A 19,441-nucleotide genomic window follows, 5' to 3' on the forward strand; every position below is an offset into this window, starting at 1 on the left:
TCGCCCGGCTTTCCACTGAGGGACGCCCCCTGCTCTGGACTGCTTAGCCTACTCCAGCTGGCCCCACCTCACCTCATCGGCCCCGCCTCCTCCGCTCGCCCACTCCGGGCGCCCACTCCTGAGGAGCTATCCCAGAGTCCGCGCGGCCTCGCCTTCCCGGCCCGCTCACCACCCCGCCTCGTCCCACCTCGCCTCGCCCTCCCCGGGCTCTAGCCACTTGGTGCGGCAGGTGTCCTGCAGGCCGGCTCGAGATTCCCGAGCTCGCCCTCGTGGTGTTCCAGGAACACGGTACTTTGCGCTAGCCTGGCCTGTCCTGAGAGACTGCGGGAGGCGAAGAGAACGCGCTGTTGCTGTGGGAAGCGCCGGGGACGGGACAGCTACACCGCCAAACACTTCGCTAGGGAAAGGGCTGGCTGGTTTCGTGCGTAAACAACCGAAAAGGGGAAGTGTCTGGGGGAAAGTGTGTGTGTGTGTGTGTGAATGCGGGTGAGTGAGGGGGAGAGGGACACGTTACTAAAGTCAGGCAAATATTTTGAAAAAAATATATTTTGAAAAAAATAGTTTGGTCTAACAAAAATAAAATGGAAGAGAGATTTGTTTAAGTAGTTTGAAGCTGAAAGATTGACGGGATCTTGCCATGACCTGAACAGCATGCACCTGTTTTGTGGCTGGCTGAAGGATGGTAAATAGGATCAAGATCTCACTTTAAGCGTTGAAAATGCTGAAAGCCCTTTCTCAAACCTGCCATAGCGTAGGGGTAGACAGTCTTTCTTAAAGCAACTACTAGGGGTCAAATGCTGAGTGAAATTTTTTTCATCTGTGAACTTTAAATAATAGCCACATACATTCTGCTAGGCAACTGAGTCTCAATTTACTATAGGCCACGTGGCAAATAATCAGATTCAATTAAAGTCATCAAACAATAATTGTGTGTCGGGCATCACGTTTAGGTATTCAAGATACAAACATGAATGAGTTTGGTGAAAAAGTCATATCATCATGGGCATGAATTCTAGTTCCCTCACTTATTAGCTATGCTACCTTGGGTCAATTAACCTCTCTGAGACTCAGCTTTCTCATCTACAGGATAAGAATAATAATCCCTTCCTCATAAGGTTGTTGTGTGAATTTAATAATATATTACTTGTAAAACACTTATTGGGGTGGGAAATTACCTTGATGCAATGGTAGCTTCCACGTACGAGTCAGGCCATCCCAGAGGGTCATGGAACTCAGATGGCTGAGTTCAAAAGGCTCAGATCAAATTGAGATGCCTGAGTCACACAGTTTATTAAATCAATTTATTTTCATTTTAAATAAGTTTATTCAAACAAGACATTTGACTTGAAAGGAAAACTAGGATTTTTTTTTAAGAGTAATGTGTCATTACTGAAAGATTGCCTTACATGTAATAGCCACGTACAAAGAGTTATAAAATTGTCTTGGCTAGGCCGGCACGGTGGCTCACGCCTGTAATCCCAGCACTTTGGGAGGCCAAGGCGGGTGGATCACCTGAGGCCAGGAGTTCGAGACCAGCCTAACCAACATGGCAAAACCCGTCTCTACTAAAAATACAAAAATTAGCCGGGCGTGTTGGCGCATGCCTATAATTCTAGCTACTTGAGAGGCTGAGGCAGGAGAATAGCTTGAATCCTGGAGGCAGAGGTTACAGTGAGCTGAGATTGTGCCATTGCACTCCTGCCTTGATGACAAGAGCAAAACTCAGTCTCAAAAAAAAAAAAAGAATTGTCCTTGGCTTTACAATCATAAACAAAATACATTACAATTCTTCAACTGAAGAAGATATGCAAAAACTGTTATGGTGTTTTGTTTTGTGTGTGGGGTTTTTTTGGTTAAAACAGAGCAAAATAACGAACTGGAATATAAAGATAAGACCTGAATGAGCATGGCATTAATGGAGAAGGGAGTCTTCACAAAACCATATTTCTCCGCCCATCCTATCTTCATTTGATGCGGATCAAAAGATAACATTGGGGCCAGGCGCAGTGGCTCACGCCTGTAATCCCAGCACTTTGGGAGGCCAAGGCGGGTGGGTCACCTGAGGTCGGGAGTTCGAGACCAGCCTGACCAACATGGAGAAACCCCATCTCTACTAAAAAAATACAAAATTAGCCGGGCACGGTGGCGCATGCCTGTAATCCCAGCTACTCGGAAGGCTGAGGCAGGAGAATCACTTGAACCCGGGAGACGGAGGTTGTGGTGAGCCAAGATCGCGCCACTGCACTCCAGCCTGGGCAACAAGAGCAACACCCCGTCTCAAAAAAAAAAAAAAAAAATTGACCATTTGGTTAAAAAATGCAATACGCTTTTATGCATTATAACTATGGCATATACAATATGCCATAAAGACTATATGAAGATGTAGAATTCTGTTACTCCTAGAGATCTTGCAGTTACACATTTAATTGTTTACATAGTTACATTGTAACTAATATATACATATAATAAAGTAATGGGGAAGAGGAAAATGATAGAGAAAACTATACTGTAGTAGTCAGGGTGTGATGGAACCAAATCGCAGTTTTCTAATTGAAAATGCATTCTTGGTCCGTAAGAACAGAGTTCTGTAATAAAGTAGCAGGCTCCATTTTTAGTCAAAACCTCCTGTCCTTGGAACACATTAATTGTATCTTTAGCCTCCATCTTCAACTTTACAGGTGTGTCTATTTCATTGATTGGTTGCACATGAAGTCTAGAATCTGATCAACCTCATTGCCTAACCCTGTTCACAATAGGCTTTCATTAATTTACTAAGTGGTATACACCTTTTTTTTTTTTTTTTTAAGACGGAGTCTCATTCTGTCACCCAGGCTGGAGTGCAGTGGCGGGATCTCGGCTCACTGCAGCCTCTGTCTCCCAGGTTCAAGTGATTCTCCTGCCTCAGCTTCCCGAGTAACTGGGATTACAAGCACCTGCCACCACACCTGGCTAATTCTTGTATTTTTTTTTAGTGGAGACGGGGTTTCACCATGTTGGCCAGGCTGGTCTCGAGCTCCTGACCTCAGGTGATCCGCCCACCTTGGCCTCCTAAAGTGCTGGGATTACAAGTGTGAGCCACTGCGCCCGGCTGGAATATGCCTTTTAATCTTAAACTGCACCACAGACCCATTCTGCCCTGCCACCTTCAAATTAATAGGATTGTTGTTCTCAATCTTGCCTCCTTCTTTGGGCTTTCTGTCAGCCAGAGTCTTCTTAGCTGCCACTTCACAAAACAGGTGCCAGTTCTGTGCCAAACAAGCACACAAGCTGTACCCTATTAAATCATTTTAAAACATAACAGCAAGGGGAAAGAGATTGAGTGGACTAACATATTTTGGTTAGGATGTGGGGAGGGGAGAGAGTGGAAGGATTATACCATCTGAATCTTAATGTTACTGTTCGTGTACTGTTTGATGCATCAGACTTCCTTGCTGGTGGTGTAGTTATGAGGACCATAGTGAGGATGAGCAAGACTGCTCAGCAGGTAGAAGGTGGAGCCAGCACACACTTTTCTTTTGGAGAACTGCTGGAACCTGACTCCAGCTATAACTGCATTTATAACCAGTTATAATTAACCTACTGAGCAGCTATGGATGGTATCTGTGTTTCTTGGACAGAGCACGTGTGGGGCCAGAGTGGATCTCACCAGTGAGTGGCTGGTTTAGGGATAACATAGTTGTCAGTCTGGCAGTAACATGATCATTACCTTATGAATATTTAAGATTTATTTGGGGCTGGGCACCGTGTCCCACGCCTGTAATCCCAGCACTTTGGGAGGCCGAGGTGGGCAGATCACCTGAGGTCGGGAGTGCGAGACCAGCCTGACCAACGTGGAGAAACCCTGTCTCTACTAAAAATAAAAAATTAGCCAGGCGTGGTGGTGCAAGCGTGTAATCCCAGCTACTCGGGAGGCTGAGGCAGAACAATCGCTTGAACCTGGGAGGCGGAAGTTGTGGTGAGCTGAGATTGTGCCACTGCCCTCCAGCCTGGGCAACAAGAGCGAAACTCCGTCTCAAAAAAAAAAATTTACTTGGTCCTTCTAGCCCTTTTAATCTAAAAGTGGAACTCTCATGTGTTCCATTATTTTTGTGTATGTTCAATACATATATGTTCCATTCATCCTATTTTTAACATGCCTCACAGTGTAATTATTTATTATTTATACTTAATACATCTTACAAATTTCATTATGTCTAACAAGCCATTTGCTCCCATACTTAGTTTCTCTCAATTTCTGTGGCAGAATTGAATATTCTTAAATGACACAGCAAAAACATCACAGTACTCAGAATAGTGTAGGCAGTGTGAGTTTCCCCCAGGATGTTCAAAGTTATTGGAAGAGCAAATGGAAAAAAATAACACGCGTAACTGAAAGATCTCAAGGAGTAAGAGGATTCTGCATCTTCATATGGACTTTATGGCATATTGTATTTTCCAAAAATGGCCACAACAATATTTCTGGTACCATATGCTGTTCCAGAACTTGGATACACCTCCCCTTAAAAGGTGGTGTCTAATGCACTTCCCTTTGCATATAGGCCATCAATATTAACTTTTGTTTGTTTGTTTGTTTGTTTGTTTGTTTGAGACAGAGTCTCGCTCGGGCACCAGGCTGGAGTGCAGTGGCACGGTCTCGGCTTACTACAACCTCCGCCTTCCGGATTCAAGTGATTCTGCTGCCTCAGCCTCCCGAATAGCTGGGATTACAGGCGAGTACCACCACATCCAGCTAATTTTTTTAATTTTTAGTAGAGACGGGGTTTCACCGTGTTAGCAAGGATCATCTTGATCTCTTGACCTCGTGATTCACCTGCCTCGGCCTCCCAAAGTGCTGACATTACAGGCGTGAGCCACGGCACCCGGCTATTAATACTAACTTCTAACAAATAGGATACAGTCAAGTGCCATGTAACATTTTGGTCAATGATAGACCCCATATATGGTGGTGGTCCTATAAGATTATAATGGAGCTGAAAAGTTCCTATCATAGTGACGTTATAGTCATAGCACAACACATTACTCATGTGTTTGTGTTGATGCTACTGTAAACAAATCTGCCAGTGTGTAAAGTATAGCTTATATAATTATGTACACTACATAATACTTGATAGTGATAATCTATATTACTGATTTATGTATTTACTATAGTTATCATTATTTTAGTGTATACTCCTTCTAATTATATATATAAAAAAATCAGTAACTGTAAAATAGCTTCAGGCAGGTCCTTCAGGAGGTATTCCAGAAGAAGGTATGGCTATCATAGGAAATGACAGCTTCATGTATTTATTGCCCCTGGAGACCTTCCAGTGGGACAAGATGTGGAGGTGGAAAACAGTAATATTGATGATCCTGACCCTGTGTAGGCACAGACTAATGCATGTGTGTGTCTTAGTTTTTAACAAAAAAAGTTCAAAAAGTAAATTATTTTAAAAAATAGGAAAGAGTTTATAGAATAAGAATATAAAGAAAGAAAATTTTGTGCAGCTATGCACTGTTTTAAGCTAAGTGTTATTACAAAAGAGTCAAAAAGCTTTAAAAATTTAAAACGTTTTTGAAATACAGTTACAGTAAGGTAAGGCTAATTTATTGAAGAAAGAAAAATATTTTTCATAAGTTTCTTGTAGCCTAAGTATGCAGTATTTATGGCATCTACAGTAGTGTGTAGTAATACTCTAAACCTTCACATTCACTCACTGACTGACTCACTTAAAGCAACTTCCAGTCCTGCAATCTCCATTCATGGTAACTGCCCTATACAAGTGTGCCTTTTTAAAAAAACCTTTTATATCATATTTTTACTGTACCTTTTCTATGTTTAGATACACAAATACAATTGTGTTTCAGTTGCCTACAATATTCAGTACAGTAACATGCTGTACAAGTTTGTAGCTTAGGAGCAATACCACATACAGCCTAGGTGTATAGTAGGCATTACCATCTAGGTTTGTGTAAATACACTCTATGATGTTTGCACAACAATGAAATAATCTAATGACACATTTCTCAGAACATATTCCTGTTGTTAAGTGATGCATGACTTTTAAGCCTCATTCATTAAGGACACTACAGATAGCTTTGGTGTTGTCTCTCTTTTGGGCACTTTCCTTGGGAGCTTAGGTACCATGCTAAAGGAAGCCAAAAACTAGCTCACACAGAGAGACTACATGGGAAGTCCACATGGAAAGCAACTGAAGCACCAGCCAACAGCTAGCATCAACCTCCAGATGTGTGAATGAATGAGCCTTCAGAGGAATCCAACTCCTAGCTGTCATGCCTTCCAGTTGAAAACCCCAGAAATTATGGAGCAGGAAAAACACCATCTTGGGTTCTGTGCAAATTCCTAACCCACAGAATCCACGAGCCTAACAAATGGTTGTTTTAAGCCACCAATTTTGGGATAATTTGTTATGCAGCCATAGTAACTGGTCCAGCATCCATTCCACTTAGAGATTTGTGTGGTGATCGCCTAGGAAGACAAGCTAGCCTTTTGTATAGAAAATATGTAATTTCAAGCTATTGCTGTCTTATTGTATGTCATTTACTGGGTAAATCCTCATTTCTCAAACTTGATGTCTCAACACCCCTGCCCTTTTTTTTTTTTTTTTTTGAGACAGAGTCTTGACTCTGTCGCCCAGGCTGGAGTGCAGTGACATGATCTCGGCTCACTGCTGTCTCTGCATCCCAGGTACAAGGGGTTCTCCTGCCTCAGCCTCCTGAGTAGCTGAGCCTACAGGCACACACCACCATGTCCAGCTAATTTTTGTATTTTTGTAGAGATGGAGTTTCACCATGTTGGCCATGCTGGTCTCAAATTCTTGACCTCAAGTGATCCGCCTGCCCTGGCCTCCCAAAGTGCTGGGATTACAGGTGTGAGCCACCGTGCCTGGCCTCAACCCCTTTTAAATAAAAAAATTTTCACAGCCACTTTGATATTGACTTAAACTACATATGTATTGTTACTTAAGTATGTACAAACCTAAGACCAGTAATAAACTCCTTATTCTTGGAGCTTTACACAACTAAAAGTAGATCTATAAATTAAATACAAACAAGACTATAGAAATGGTAAAATTCCAGTTTACAACCAAAAGCAATGGATGATGATGTTGCTTTGCTGAAACTATATTGCATCAGTGTGAATTTTATAGTGACCATTAATGAAGCATGTTTTTTTGCATCGTAGCCATGGGATAACTTTTTCTACAACTCTTTTTATCAGTTGCCTTTCATAAGGAACAAATGTGTCATTTACATATTTAATTCCATTCTTTAAGTTTTTATGTATTATTTGACATCAGTGCCATCATAAATGGTCAACCAGGTAATTCAAGATACTGCATATATATATTAAGAATCAAAATAAGATGCTTGTGGAAAATTGGCAGATCCTGAACCCTAGTTTGAAAATCACTAAACAGGTCTATATTTAATGAGCCATTCATTTATAATTCAGGAAGGCCTCCAGTGTGAAGGAAGGTGAAAATTTTGGAATTAGATTGGTTTAGAGCTAGTTGGAATAGGCCCAGTACAGGATAAAGCAAGCTTGAAATAAGGCAGTGGTGGTGGGGAATGCAAGAAGAATCCGTGCATGTGAGTTAAGTAAATGTACTCAAGATGACTTGATCAGTGGTTGGATATGGAGTGTAGGGTAGAGGGAGGATTCTAGGATGACTACAAGTTTTTTTTTTTTGTTTGTTTGTTTTTTTTGAGATAGAGTTTCGTTCTTGTTGCCCAGGCTGGAGTATAATGGCACGATCTCGGCTCACTGCAACCTCCGCCTCCTGAGTTCAAGCGATTGTCCTGCCTCAGCCTCTCAAGTAGCTGGGATTACAGGCATGCGCCACCATGCCTGGCTAATTTTTGTATTTTTAGTAGAGACTAGTTTCTCCATGTTGGTCATGCTGGTCTCGAATTCTCAGCCTCAGGTGATCTGCCTGCCTCAGCCTCCCAAAGTGGTGGGATTACAGGCGTGAGCCACTGCGCCCAGCAATGACTACAAGTTTCTAATCCAGAGACTAGGCAGTTAGCAGTGCCTTTTGCCCATGAAGTCTTAGTAGGAAAATAGTGAGTTGTTTTGGACATGTCAAGATCATGATTCTCATGAGATCCAACTGGGGGTTTCTAGTAATGTGGTTCAGAACTGATTGGCTCAGCCATTGATCTGATCCAGCTGTGACAACCTGAAAGCCATACTTAGCAACCCGTCACATTAATAGTAAGTAAAGCAGTTTTTGCAAAAGAATCAACAAGCAATATAGATTTTTTCTAAAAAATTTCGAGTTCAGTACAAAGAACATTTTCCCTCTTAACTGTTTCAGAATAAGTTGCTATGTCTAGGCTAAATGCAGAAGAAAAGAAGTGAGACAACTTTCTTTTACTCGTAAGTGTGAGAGCATTGGAAGGACAGGAGTTTTGGGTCATAGAGTTGGATAATAAGACAACATTTCAAAGGTGCAGAGTTCCAGGTGAGATAAAAACAACAGATTACAATAGTATGTTCCTAAATTGGATTGAAGTTGGTCATTTGAATCCATTCAATAAATTTAACATTCTACCAGGCACTGGAGAGAAAAAGGTAATTGAGACAGAGTTCCTACACTAAAGGAACTTACAGAGTAGAAGGGAAAATCAAGCAGATACATTGTTCAGACGGAGTACAAAGAAAGTAAAACAGCTTTGTCAAGGTGGAGGGTGGAGGGCAGGTCAAGGAGAGCACCTCAAAGAGGTGGGTAAACCGGATTCTGAATTATGAATAGGAACTAACCATTCCAAGATGAGGGGCCATAAAGAGTGGGCAGTAAGGTCAGAGGGAGCAAGTATTTATACAGGCTCCAAGGCGATAGAGGTCATAACCCACCAGGGGACTGCAAGTCTTTCAGTATAACAAGATAGTAAGTAAATATAAGGCTGTAAAGCAAGATCCAATCATGAAGGGCCTTGTTGAGTTTGAACTTCATCTTACATAGCCATCCGTGGAAAGTCAGTGTATTTTAAACAGGTGAGTGAGTAAAATGGTTAATATGCATTTTAGAACTTGTTCTGCCTCTACATATTAAAGGGAGCAAAACAATAAACAGAAACTGGTTAGTAAGCTATTGACATAATCTAGGTAGAAGGTGGTGACAAAGTTAGGTAATGATAGTGGATGTGGAGAGAAGTAGATTAACTCAAGAGTTCAATATATAGTAACTGTAGGGCTTGATGGTTAATATGAATGTTAGGGGTAAAGAGGGAATTGAATGATTCCGTTTCTGACATGGGAACTATATAATTTACTGATTCATAAATGATTTTTGACCAGGCATTGTGGTACACACTGGGCTTAAGAGAAGTGAACAAGGATAGAGTTTCTGATAGCCTCTGCTATTATTGTGTAGGGTCACTAGGGGAAGTCAGACAATGAGCACATAAACTAGTTTCAGATAGCACATGGATGGACCAAGAGTGGTGAGAGTTGGAATATCTGTGAAGCTTTTAGGGTAAAGTCATAGCTGTGGGAGGGCAGGGACCCTCTTGTTACTGTACTCAACTTGCATTGGTTTAGGGCATTAGCAGTAGGGGAAAGTACAGAATGACAAAAAAATTGCACAGAAACCTTAGTTCTTTTTCACTTTCTCAGATCACTTAAACACTTCAGCTGCTGTACCTTAAACCTGGCAAGTTTTTGCCTCCCTTAAACAGGTGTCCCAAGATCTGCTAAAGTTTTATTTTAAAAATAAGAGAATCAGTGTTTTACAATTCTTCCAAGAAGTTCATGTGATCAAGAAAATGTACATTTCTTCTCATCCAGGTCAAGGACCATAGCTTTTCTATATAGTGCTCTACTGCTGCACTTATTATAGGTAATATAGTGGTTCCAGATAATTTGGCACCTTTTAGAAATAAATTCTTTCATTCAAAAAATATGAGTGAGGGCCAGGTGCGGTGGCTCACACCTGTAATCCCAGGACTTTGGGAGGCCGAGACGGGCGAATCACCTGATGTCAGGAGTTCAAGACCAGCCTGACCAACATGGTGAAACCCCGTCTTTACAAAAATACAAAAATTGGCTGGGCATGATGGTGAGTGCCTGTAATCCCAGCTACTCAGGAGACTCAAGCGCGAGAATTGCTTGAGGCTGGGAGGCAGAGGATGCAGTGAGCCGAGATCGCACCTCTGCGCCCCAGCCTGGGCAAAAGAGCGAGACTCCATCTCAAAAAAAAAAGTGCTTGCTTTGATCAAGGCCCTGTATTTCGGGTTACAGAATTTCTTTTAAAACATCTTAATCAACATTGGACATATCTTTTTAAATGCATGCTTCTCCACTTTCTTCCAGAGTATATAGAACAGTTTTTAGTGGATAACTATCCTGACCTAAAGTAAATGTTAGCCTTGAGTGCTGTTTTTGAATTGGATAAAGCTGCTGCATGTCATCCTTATGTAGCAGGCACAATATTTGCAGTATTCAGACTTCTAGACCTGGTGCTAACCAAATATTTCTACATTAAGTGGCTTCATTCTGTTGTGCTTTTTGAATGTTTTCTAGCTTCCTTCATCTTTCTAGCTTCCTTGATCTTAATTTTGCTATTTCTGGTCTGTGTTAAAGCAGGAACCTGATGATCAAAAACTCTAGGAATCAAACCCTCTCCTTTTAATCACTGTACTTGGACTTCAGTGCCTATATTTTGAGGCCAATGTGACTTTTTTTTTTTTTTTCCAGATGGAGTCTGGCTGTTATCTCCAGGCTGGAGTGCAGTGGTGCAATCTCGGCTCACTGCAACCTCTGAACCCCTGGTTCAAGTGATACTCCTGCCTCAGCCTCCCAAGCAGCTGGGATTACAGGCATGTGCCACCACACCCAGCTAATTTTTGTATTTTTAGTAGAGACGGGGTTTCACCATGTTGGCCAGGATGCGCTCTATCTCCTGACCTCAAGTGATCCGCCCGCCTTGGCCTCCCAAAGTGCTAGGATTACAGGCGTGAGACACGGCGCCCAGTTGACTGTTTTGTTTTCACTCACTCCTCCATATGGGTAGTTGAGGATCACTATGACTGTTTTTATGTAGGCAGAATTTTTAAGAAAACAACATAAATTTAGATATTTGTTCCGTAAAGTTACTAAAAAGTAAATATATTAAAGGTGATTGTCACATAAGCCTTCCAATCACAGTGCCTGTGATTTCATTAGACAAAACTGAACATATAAAAATGTAGTTGGCTACCTGGGAGCCTGAAGCACTTTATTTACAGATACTTTCTTAGGGCTAACTCAAAACACATCTAATCAGAACCATGCCATAAGCTTGCCAGAGAATGACAATGCATTTAAACATCGTAAATAGCCAAATTTCACCTTCCCCATTGAAGACAGCATTTCAGATACAAGTACATGGCCTGGTAATGTTTTTCCAGAAGAGATCCTACTTGTATCAAAGTCAGCCTGTAGCAGTGCAAACTACTGACTTAAAGTTTAGCAGCTAAAAATAGAGTCTGAAAAGATTCAGAAAATTGAGTTATTTTACCCATGAAACAAACATCTGCTCTTTTAGAGCAAGCAGCTCTTTATACCTTATGAGAAAGCTCAAGAACAAAAAAGTTAGCTTTTCATTTTAAGGTACCATGGTTGATTTTAGACAGTTCTCATATCTTCAAATTATTATCCTGGGGAAAATTATGCAGGACAAAAGTGTTTTTTAGAAATATTTAGCAAAAATATATGAATTACTGCCTTTTCATAATGCAGCCAGGACTTGCATCGGAATATTTGATTATCCTATGACCAACTCACTTATACCTTCCACAGAATACTATAGCACAACGTGTAGTATATACAAGCTCCAGAATGCTTGGAGATGTACCTCACTTTAGCACTAAGTAGCTGTGTAACTTTGAGCAAGTTGTTTAACCTGTGTCTCCATTCCTCTCGAGGATCATAATAGTCTTTCTCATGGGGTAAAATAATACATGTGGAACACTCAACAAGATGCATGGCACACAGTAAGTACTGTAATAAAAGTAATTTAGAGAAACAGAAGATACTTTGCTTAACCCAAGATACCTTGAGGTAAATTTAAAAGTCACATTTTAAATACATTCCTATTGTTTTTCATACAACTATCACTTCTGTGGTAATCAAATGGTGTTTAAATAATCTATGTTTATGCCTACTTACATAGGTTAACATAAACAGTAAAAATATTTTCATTCACTACCCAAGCACAGTCTATTGAAGGCACTTCCAACCAGCCCCTTATCAGTAGGAAGAATCCAACCTAGGACTAGTTTATCAATAGATGTACTTTTCCATAGATTGTAAGCAGTTCTAAGTAGGAAAGGTTTGGCTCTCAGGAGCTTTCAGCGGGACATTTATATTTGTAAATAAAAAGGAAATATTCTTTGGGCAGTGTTTCAGAATCACCTGGGATGATCTGCATGAAGATTCCTGGCCTCCACCAAAGACTTACTGAATCAGAAAGGAGGCAAGAGGATGAGGAATGCTTAAGAATCTGCATTAACAAACTTTACAAATGAATCTTACAACATACAGAAGCATGGAAACTACTGCCTCAAGGGATTATCTCAACTTGAGTTTAAACATAGGAATTGCTGACTACCTTTAAAATGTAAAAATAGTATCTTTATGGGAGGGATGTTGTTTGGGGGCAGCTACTAAATAGTGAAATCATTCCTTTAAAATACCCTCTCAAGTCTGCCCCAGTTATCCATTTTACTGGATAGTCTTGGTATCCAGATGATTTAGGGAAAAAAATAGTAGTAGCAAACTCTGAAAACACTCAGTAAAGTTCATTCTTGGTCTTCTCTTCCTAAATTTGTTTTCAATTGTTAGATTTAAACACTAAACAAGACCAAAAGAGAACTTTATTTTACATGTCTTTATTTTACATTTAGAACCGTTTTATGATTTACTTAAAAAAAAAATCTTTTACTATTATTAGAAGTATTTTTTAACCAAAATCTTGATTTAGGAAGACTTAAGACATTGTGCATTATTTTAAATATTTTCATTTCAGTAACTATTAAAAATAAATTCACAATTAGGGTTTCAAATGTCCTAATCATATCTAGTTTGTTCTCATTTAATATTTTATCAATCCCATCATGTGCATACAGAGGTTAAGGTGATGTATAAATTTTATATCTTTCAAACACATTGATGCTAATCAGCTCTTGATCTAATTACTATTTCATTTATTCAGAAATAGCATTTAGACATAAAAACCAATGTCTCACTTTGTAAAATAACCTTTGGCTAATTTACACACATCTAATACAGCGTGTTATATAAGTTTTAAGTAATACAATGAGTCACTACTATCATTCAGTTTTAAATATTTTTAGTGTTAACAGGGCTGAGAATATCATGTGGTTCAGTCTTCTGAAGGAAGTTATATAATAAAAGCATAGTGCCTTTGAACATGAAGACTATCCTCAAGGCCAGAAATCCTACAAAGGAACTGAAAGGAGAGATTCCAGAGAATTGCTCTCCTCATTTTTAATATGTAAAGTGACTGTTTTAAGTCACTTCATTGAAGACTTAAGGAAGAAAACAGTGTTATTATGCCACTGAATAAAGCTACTTAAACCAGAGTAATTTTGGGATATTAATCCTAGGCTACATAATTAATAGGTCATCAAAACAAAAACCTGTCAGTTATTAGGTGTAAGTTAACTTCCTATGCCAAGTAAGGGGTCACACTTCACTTCCCCCATTTGTAAAATGAAAAGGTGGCCAGGCCAGTGCCATTTAGGATTCTCTGCTAACTGTAAAATGTGGACTGATTTTCTTCTGTTTCTTATAGTCCAGGTGTATATAAACTTCCAGTTCTTTAAGTCAAAATTTTTATGCACATAACCATGTCAGTGTATTGCCCTTAGTTTAAAAATGTACAACTACATAAATAAAAACTATTGTTTCTTCAATATTACTTGACATTTCTTCTGTAATTTCTTTATTTAAAAAAGTAAATGTAACAAGATACTTAAAAAAGGCTAGATACAAAAGTAGTTAAGCTGCTCACGAACATTTAAAATTTTCCAAAATGTATCTTCAATAATCATGATCTTATAAAACATTTTACAGTTATCAGAAAGTGCCCAGGCTGAGTTTACATAACTGAAATACCTTAGTACAAATGTCTAGTTAGAACTGAAGTGCAGTAACCTCTTGAGACTGACTGCTCATTGAAATAGGGATACAAAGAAAAAGTTGATTGTGATAAAAGTATTGTGCATTGGCCCCATCATATGTACAAAAAAAGTGCCCTCACTCAAATGAGCAAATTACATGCAAAATATTAGTGATATCATTTAATATCCTAGAGCTCAATGCAGTCAAACCGCAATAAAAGTGGTTTTTATAGGTAAAAGTGATTTCATCTCTTAAGATCTGAATGTCGAGAACTTTTTTACAAGTTCCATATACATGATACACAGTTGCAGCCAACCACAAATTAAACACCATAAAAAAAGTTAAAATGAAAACACAGAACATACTTAATTTTTTATTTTGAAATTCCCTATTCCCTCTATACAAGAACCTTTGCTGAAACAGTTTCCACAAAGGCAGCAGTGAATTTTCAGAACATTTACATTTTTTCCCCCTCAGCAAAAAGATAAATCACAGTGTAAATTATGTTGTTCTGCTGTCATCTTTGGCTGGGGTTAGACCCAGAAGTTGGTGACTAGCAAACCAATATAGCCAAATGTTGCTAGTGCTCCTTAGGCCTTTAAGCTATAAACTCAGCAAGGAATGTCTGCATTTTATCTCTTTAAGGTACCACCAGGGGGGTATGACAGCATTAACTTCCATAAACTTTTATAGACAAATGGAAAAAAATCTACAAAATTTGCTAGTAATATTACACAGCAATACACACTTTTTATACTCTACACAAAACCAAAATTCTTGGTCTTAATGGCGAGTAACAATTTCTGTTTGAGAATCTGTTTAGAGGAATAGAGTGGGACGTAAAGTCGAGAAATGCAAGTATTTGCAGTAGGAAGATGTTGGTCATCTGGTGGTCTTATTGTGATTGAGGGCATAGGCTGGAATCCTTCTTCACTGGCTGGCAGTGATGGGCTTGATGTCCAAAAGTAAACCTGAACAGGAATTTAACAGGTTAATATTTAACTCTTAACTCTGGCAGTATATACACAAAGCCCTATTGTTATGTTAATAACCTAAAAGGAGATATTATTTTGAACTGGATTTTAAATATATTTTCTTGTACTAAAAAGGAAAGGGATCATTCATACCTCAAGACAGGTTTTTGTTTTTGTTTTTTTTCCCCAAAGGAGTAAGTCTAGAGTTAGTAGAGGAAAAAAAGGTGACTTTCTGTCACAGAGCCTCAGTATTTTCATCTGTAACATGAGGCTGTTGGACTAAATGGTTTCTAAGAGCCTTTCTTGCAGCTAATTCCATAAAGTGTCTATTAGTGGAAAAAAGGCTGCCAAACAAAAGATACGGTCTTAGGTTCAAAACTCACACAGGTTATCTTAAAAAGTTATTTTGCATTAAGGAGCAAAATAATGCAAATAATAAAATAATAAAGCAAAAAAAGTATTTACTGCTACATTGTGATACAGAATCATTTTATAATAGTAATTATTGGGGAACATCTATCTATGCATCAAAATTCATGCAATAAGCCATATTAACACTAAGTTTTATCATACCTCTGTAATAAAACTTTGTGCAACACAGTGTAAATGATGCTCAGTAAATGTGAACTTACACTTTTTAACTTAACCAAGGATATGCCTCCCTGAAATAGTTTGCTGAACATGTAACATTCCTCATCAATCCATCCCTTCATACATACGCATCATTCTTCAGTGTCTGTCTCTCTTAAGGAAAAGCTTTTTTTTTAATCTAATCATTTTATAATGCACAACAATGAAGTATATCCAATTTCCTAGAATGACTAGGAAACCTAAACAAACTTAAGATTTCCTGAAGCACAGTTGTATGGGAAAGCTCATCTAGAATTCTATATAAAGGGACAGAAAAAAAAAAAAAAAGTTAAGTATCAGGATCTATAAAATCTGAAAAGAAATAGAAAACAGGTACTCTAGAGATGAAGTTGATCTAAACCACTCATTTCATAGATAAGAAACAAGCTTAATATAAAGTGTTTCTCCAAGGATGAATGTGGTTAACCAGGGTAGATGACCTCACTGCTGGATCTCTAAGAAGTTGGAAGAGAAATACTTTTACTAGTGAATTATAACACTCCAAGAGGGAAATAAACTGTAGTTTACCCAATAACTCTGGAAACCCTATAAGTTGCAGGACTAATTAATTCATGGGAGAACTGTTTCAGAAACCCCATTCTTATGTCCTCTAGATGCATCAGGATGAAACCAAACAATATGTGAAGGATGACTTCCCAAAAAGAGGAGAAGGGTAAGGGGGAGGAAGATACCATGATAAACTGCTTACACCCTAAACATAGATTTTCAATAAGAGTTTAAGGTTCACAAACTAAAGCTGTTGACAGGAAATTTTGAGGTCTTTATAGAAGGAGATTTTCTTTTTTCTAAGATTGAGTCACTAGCAAATTTTTCTTTCAGTAGAAGGCAGAAACTCATGAGATTTAAGTTGGCTGACTGGACTGAGGAAATACTGGTTTAAAAACGGCAGAATTGGGAGGCCAAGACAGGCGGATCATGAGGTCAGGAAATCGAGATCATCCAGGCTAACATGGTGAAACCCTGTCTCTACTAAAAATACAAAAAATTAGCCAGGCGTGGTGGCAGGCACCTGTAGTCCCAGCCACTCGGGAGGCTGAGGCAGGAGAATGGCGTGAACCCGGGAGGTGGAGCTTGCAGTGAGCCGAGATTGTGCCACTGCACTCCAGCCTGAGCGACAGAGTGAGACTCCGTCTCAAAAAAAAAAAAAACCTGGCAGAAATTAAAACTAGGAAATAGATTAAAATAGATGACTTAGAACTTATACCAGATAGCCAATCCTTTCTGTTTTTGGTGGTTCTTACAGACTTGAGATGGGGCTTGTCTTAAGGAAACAAGGTGCCCTGAATCTAAAGACTGACTAAAGGTGGTAGAACTTAAGCTATTTAGGTGATCCTGAAACCAACAGGGACAGTTATGGTATTGACTAGTGGGAACTTTTAAGAGCCATAAGACTGGAGAAGTCAAATGCTGACCAATTATATCAAACCCACCTGGGGAACAAACTAAGTCAAAATTACTAGGGTGGCTAAAAGCTGAGAAATGAACTAGGTGGCAGTTAGGACTGCTGAACAAACCCATCTCACCATAGCAGAGAAATATTAGAATACACCTAGAGCCATGTAAAGATTCAGGAGTGCTAAAAGCATGAATTCCCCTCCTTCCCTCCACCACCCCCAAAATAAGCTTCTGCCTGAATGAAGGTAACTGGGAATCTGCAATTTTTTTCTTTCCTGCACAAATAACCACTTCCCCTTATTCAAATAAAATAAAGGATATATCTAGAAATCTGATCATTTTTAAATATTTCCAGAAGTGGTCTAGTTTAGAACTAAGGCTGGTTAGACCGGGGCAATGTTCCAGGAGTACAGAAAGGATCTTCCAGGGTCTTCTAGATAAGGAATGTCCTTCAAATTTCTACAAGAAAGTCTGCAGCATACTGCCTTTCAAGATTAATGGACAGGATGATTTGGTTATGGTTTTACTTGATGGGTGGACGTAAGTTCCACTAAGAGGTAGACTTTCCACTAAGATCAAAGCTTCTGTTATCTAATTTATAATTCTAAGTTAGCTGGGGCTCTGTACTAATAAGATTTTGAAAGACTTAGTACCCACATATCACAATTAAGCTACTCTCTTCCTAGTATGCAGATAACAATCAAGATAATACTCAGAAATTCTGTCAAGGCTTGGCACTAGTCAAAAGGATTAAGGATGTATACAGGGAGAAGCATATGTAGGCAGTGCGATAAAGATAAAAAGCCATGTTGCAACAGTAAACTGGTATCTTCTGGGACTAAGGACAGCATATTAACAGCTAAATGTACTTCACTCTGCTTAGAGCTTTAGTAATACTTCAGATATTGTTATAGAGCAGAAAAACAAAAACTGCCTTATTTGTGACCTTCTATAATTGCCCTACCCAAAATTAAAATGACCAACCATTACAAACTTAAAAGGCCATCATACATGGTATTTTTAACTTCTGTATTTCCTTCTACAAATCTTGTGAAATTTTTAACTTACAAGATCTTGTCGTTCTGTCATGCTCATCTTCTCTACTATTGACCAGAACCAACGCTTGAACTGCAGAAGCTTCTCAGCATTTTCTCCTAAGAATGAAGAATGTAAATAAAATATACTATACCAGTTGTTGTTATTATCTGTAGAATATTACTAATCTTCTTATAATAAAAGGATACAGATTAAAACATTATTTAAGACTTGGGGGGGAGCGTCTAATTCCTAATACAAGAAATTAAGAGCATTTGCATAATGCAAAACCTCTACAGTTCATTAGTCAATCCTGACTCAATATGACCAAAACAAATGAACCACCAGCCTTAAAACTGATATTCACATGAGTTTTATCTCATCTGTATGTCAGTATTCTTATGATCTCAAGAAATGCAGATTCTCATTCATTCACTGGGTGGGGAATGCAGAGAGGGGAGACCAGAGATTCTGCCTGTCTAAAACGCTTTCAGATGATGCCAATGCTACTGATCTGAGGATCATACTTGGAGTGGCAAGATCTTAGGCAGTTTATTTGGATACTGTTTTCCTTCCTAAATTTTTGGTTTGTAAATGAGACAAATTCTTATTAGTATTAAAAACTGTATTACAAGGTAGCACAAAAACTATTACAATATATAATTTGGCTGAAGCTGCTTGCAAAATAGGAAAAATAAAGGGGAAAAAAATCAGTACCTTTGTGTACATAATAATCTTGGAATATAGGTATAATCCTTTCACAGAGAACTTCTTGGAGCTTCTAATGTACAGTCACAGCTAAAAAGCCTATTCCTAGACCATAGGACTTTCAAAAGAAAGAATTGCAGCAAATCAAACACTGGAGATAAAAGTTTTTCTTTCAAGAGGACTTTCACTACCACTCCTTATTCTTCCTAGATTCTAGGAATCTAGGAAGTGTTTGTGTGCTACTGTGTTTTTAGAAGTGTGATTTGGGTCCAGCTCTATAGAGCAATCATCATACAAATTCTTTCATTAGGGAGTTTAAGCAACATGAATCAGAAAAGCCCAGAGAGTTGTCACATGGATTACTTTTTCTTAACCACTATATACAAATCCTTTTTTACACAGTTGCTCACCATGAAAAATTTTTGTTTGTATTCATATTTTTTGAAACCTAGAAAAATTAAGCAGTAAAAGAGTTAAGAATAGCCTAATGCTAAGCCATCAAAATACTATTTACTTCAAACATACCTTTAAAAACAATGTAAAAAAT

General features: G+C 38.8%; 1 protein-coding gene, 1 long non-coding RNA gene and 1 pseudogene across 9 annotated transcripts in view, besides 1 other annotated feature; 1 reads left to right on the plus strand and 2 right to left on the minus strand.

Moving 5' to 3' along the window:
* Positions 39 to 12,762, plus strand: UBR5-DT (UBR5 divergent transcript). Its single transcript, NR_125415.1, has 3 exons — positions 39 to 288; positions 4,593 to 4,709; positions 12,387 to 12,762. It is a non-coding gene; the product is annotated as a UBR5 divergent transcript (long non-coding RNA).
* Positions 2,626 to 3,206, minus strand: SUMO2P19 (SUMO2 pseudogene 19; annotated as a pseudogene).
* Positions 9,345 to 9,534: an enhancer, noted in NCBI's record as "active region_27748". NCBI's record gives its function as "activates an Ori minimal core promoter by ATAC-STARR-seq in GM12878 lymphoblastoid cells {active_cell/tissue: GM12878}" and the evidence as "EXISTENCE:reporter gene assay evidence [ECO:0000049][PMID:35858748]".
* UBR5 (ubiquitin protein ligase E3 component n-recognin 5) overlaps positions 12,861 to 19,441 on the minus strand; it is a 160,428-nt gene continuing 153,847 nt past the window's right edge. For 5 of the 8 annotated variants that reach the window (XM_047421848.1, XM_024447179.2, XM_047421847.1 and 2 more), the window contains 2 exons: positions 18,220 to 18,305; positions 14,492 to 15,102 (listed from right to left, as the gene is read on the minus strand). In XM_047421848.1, coding sequence (XP_047277804.1) covers positions 14,890 to 15,102; positions 18,220 to 18,305 — 299 coding nt within the window. In that variant the 3' untranslated portion in view covers positions 14,492 to 14,889. Of the gene's footprint in view, positions 15,103 to 18,219; positions 18,306 to 19,441 lie in introns of all 8 variants that reach the window. The other 3 variants (NM_001282873.2, NM_015902.6, XM_047421849.1) reach the window with 2 other exon arrangements.

The sequence above is a fragment of the Homo sapiens genome, chromosome 8 (assembly GCF_000001405.40).
Source record: "Homo sapiens chromosome 8, GRCh38.p14 Primary Assembly".
Taxonomy (NCBI): domain Eukaryota; kingdom Metazoa; phylum Chordata; class Mammalia; order Primates; family Hominidae; genus Homo; species Homo sapiens.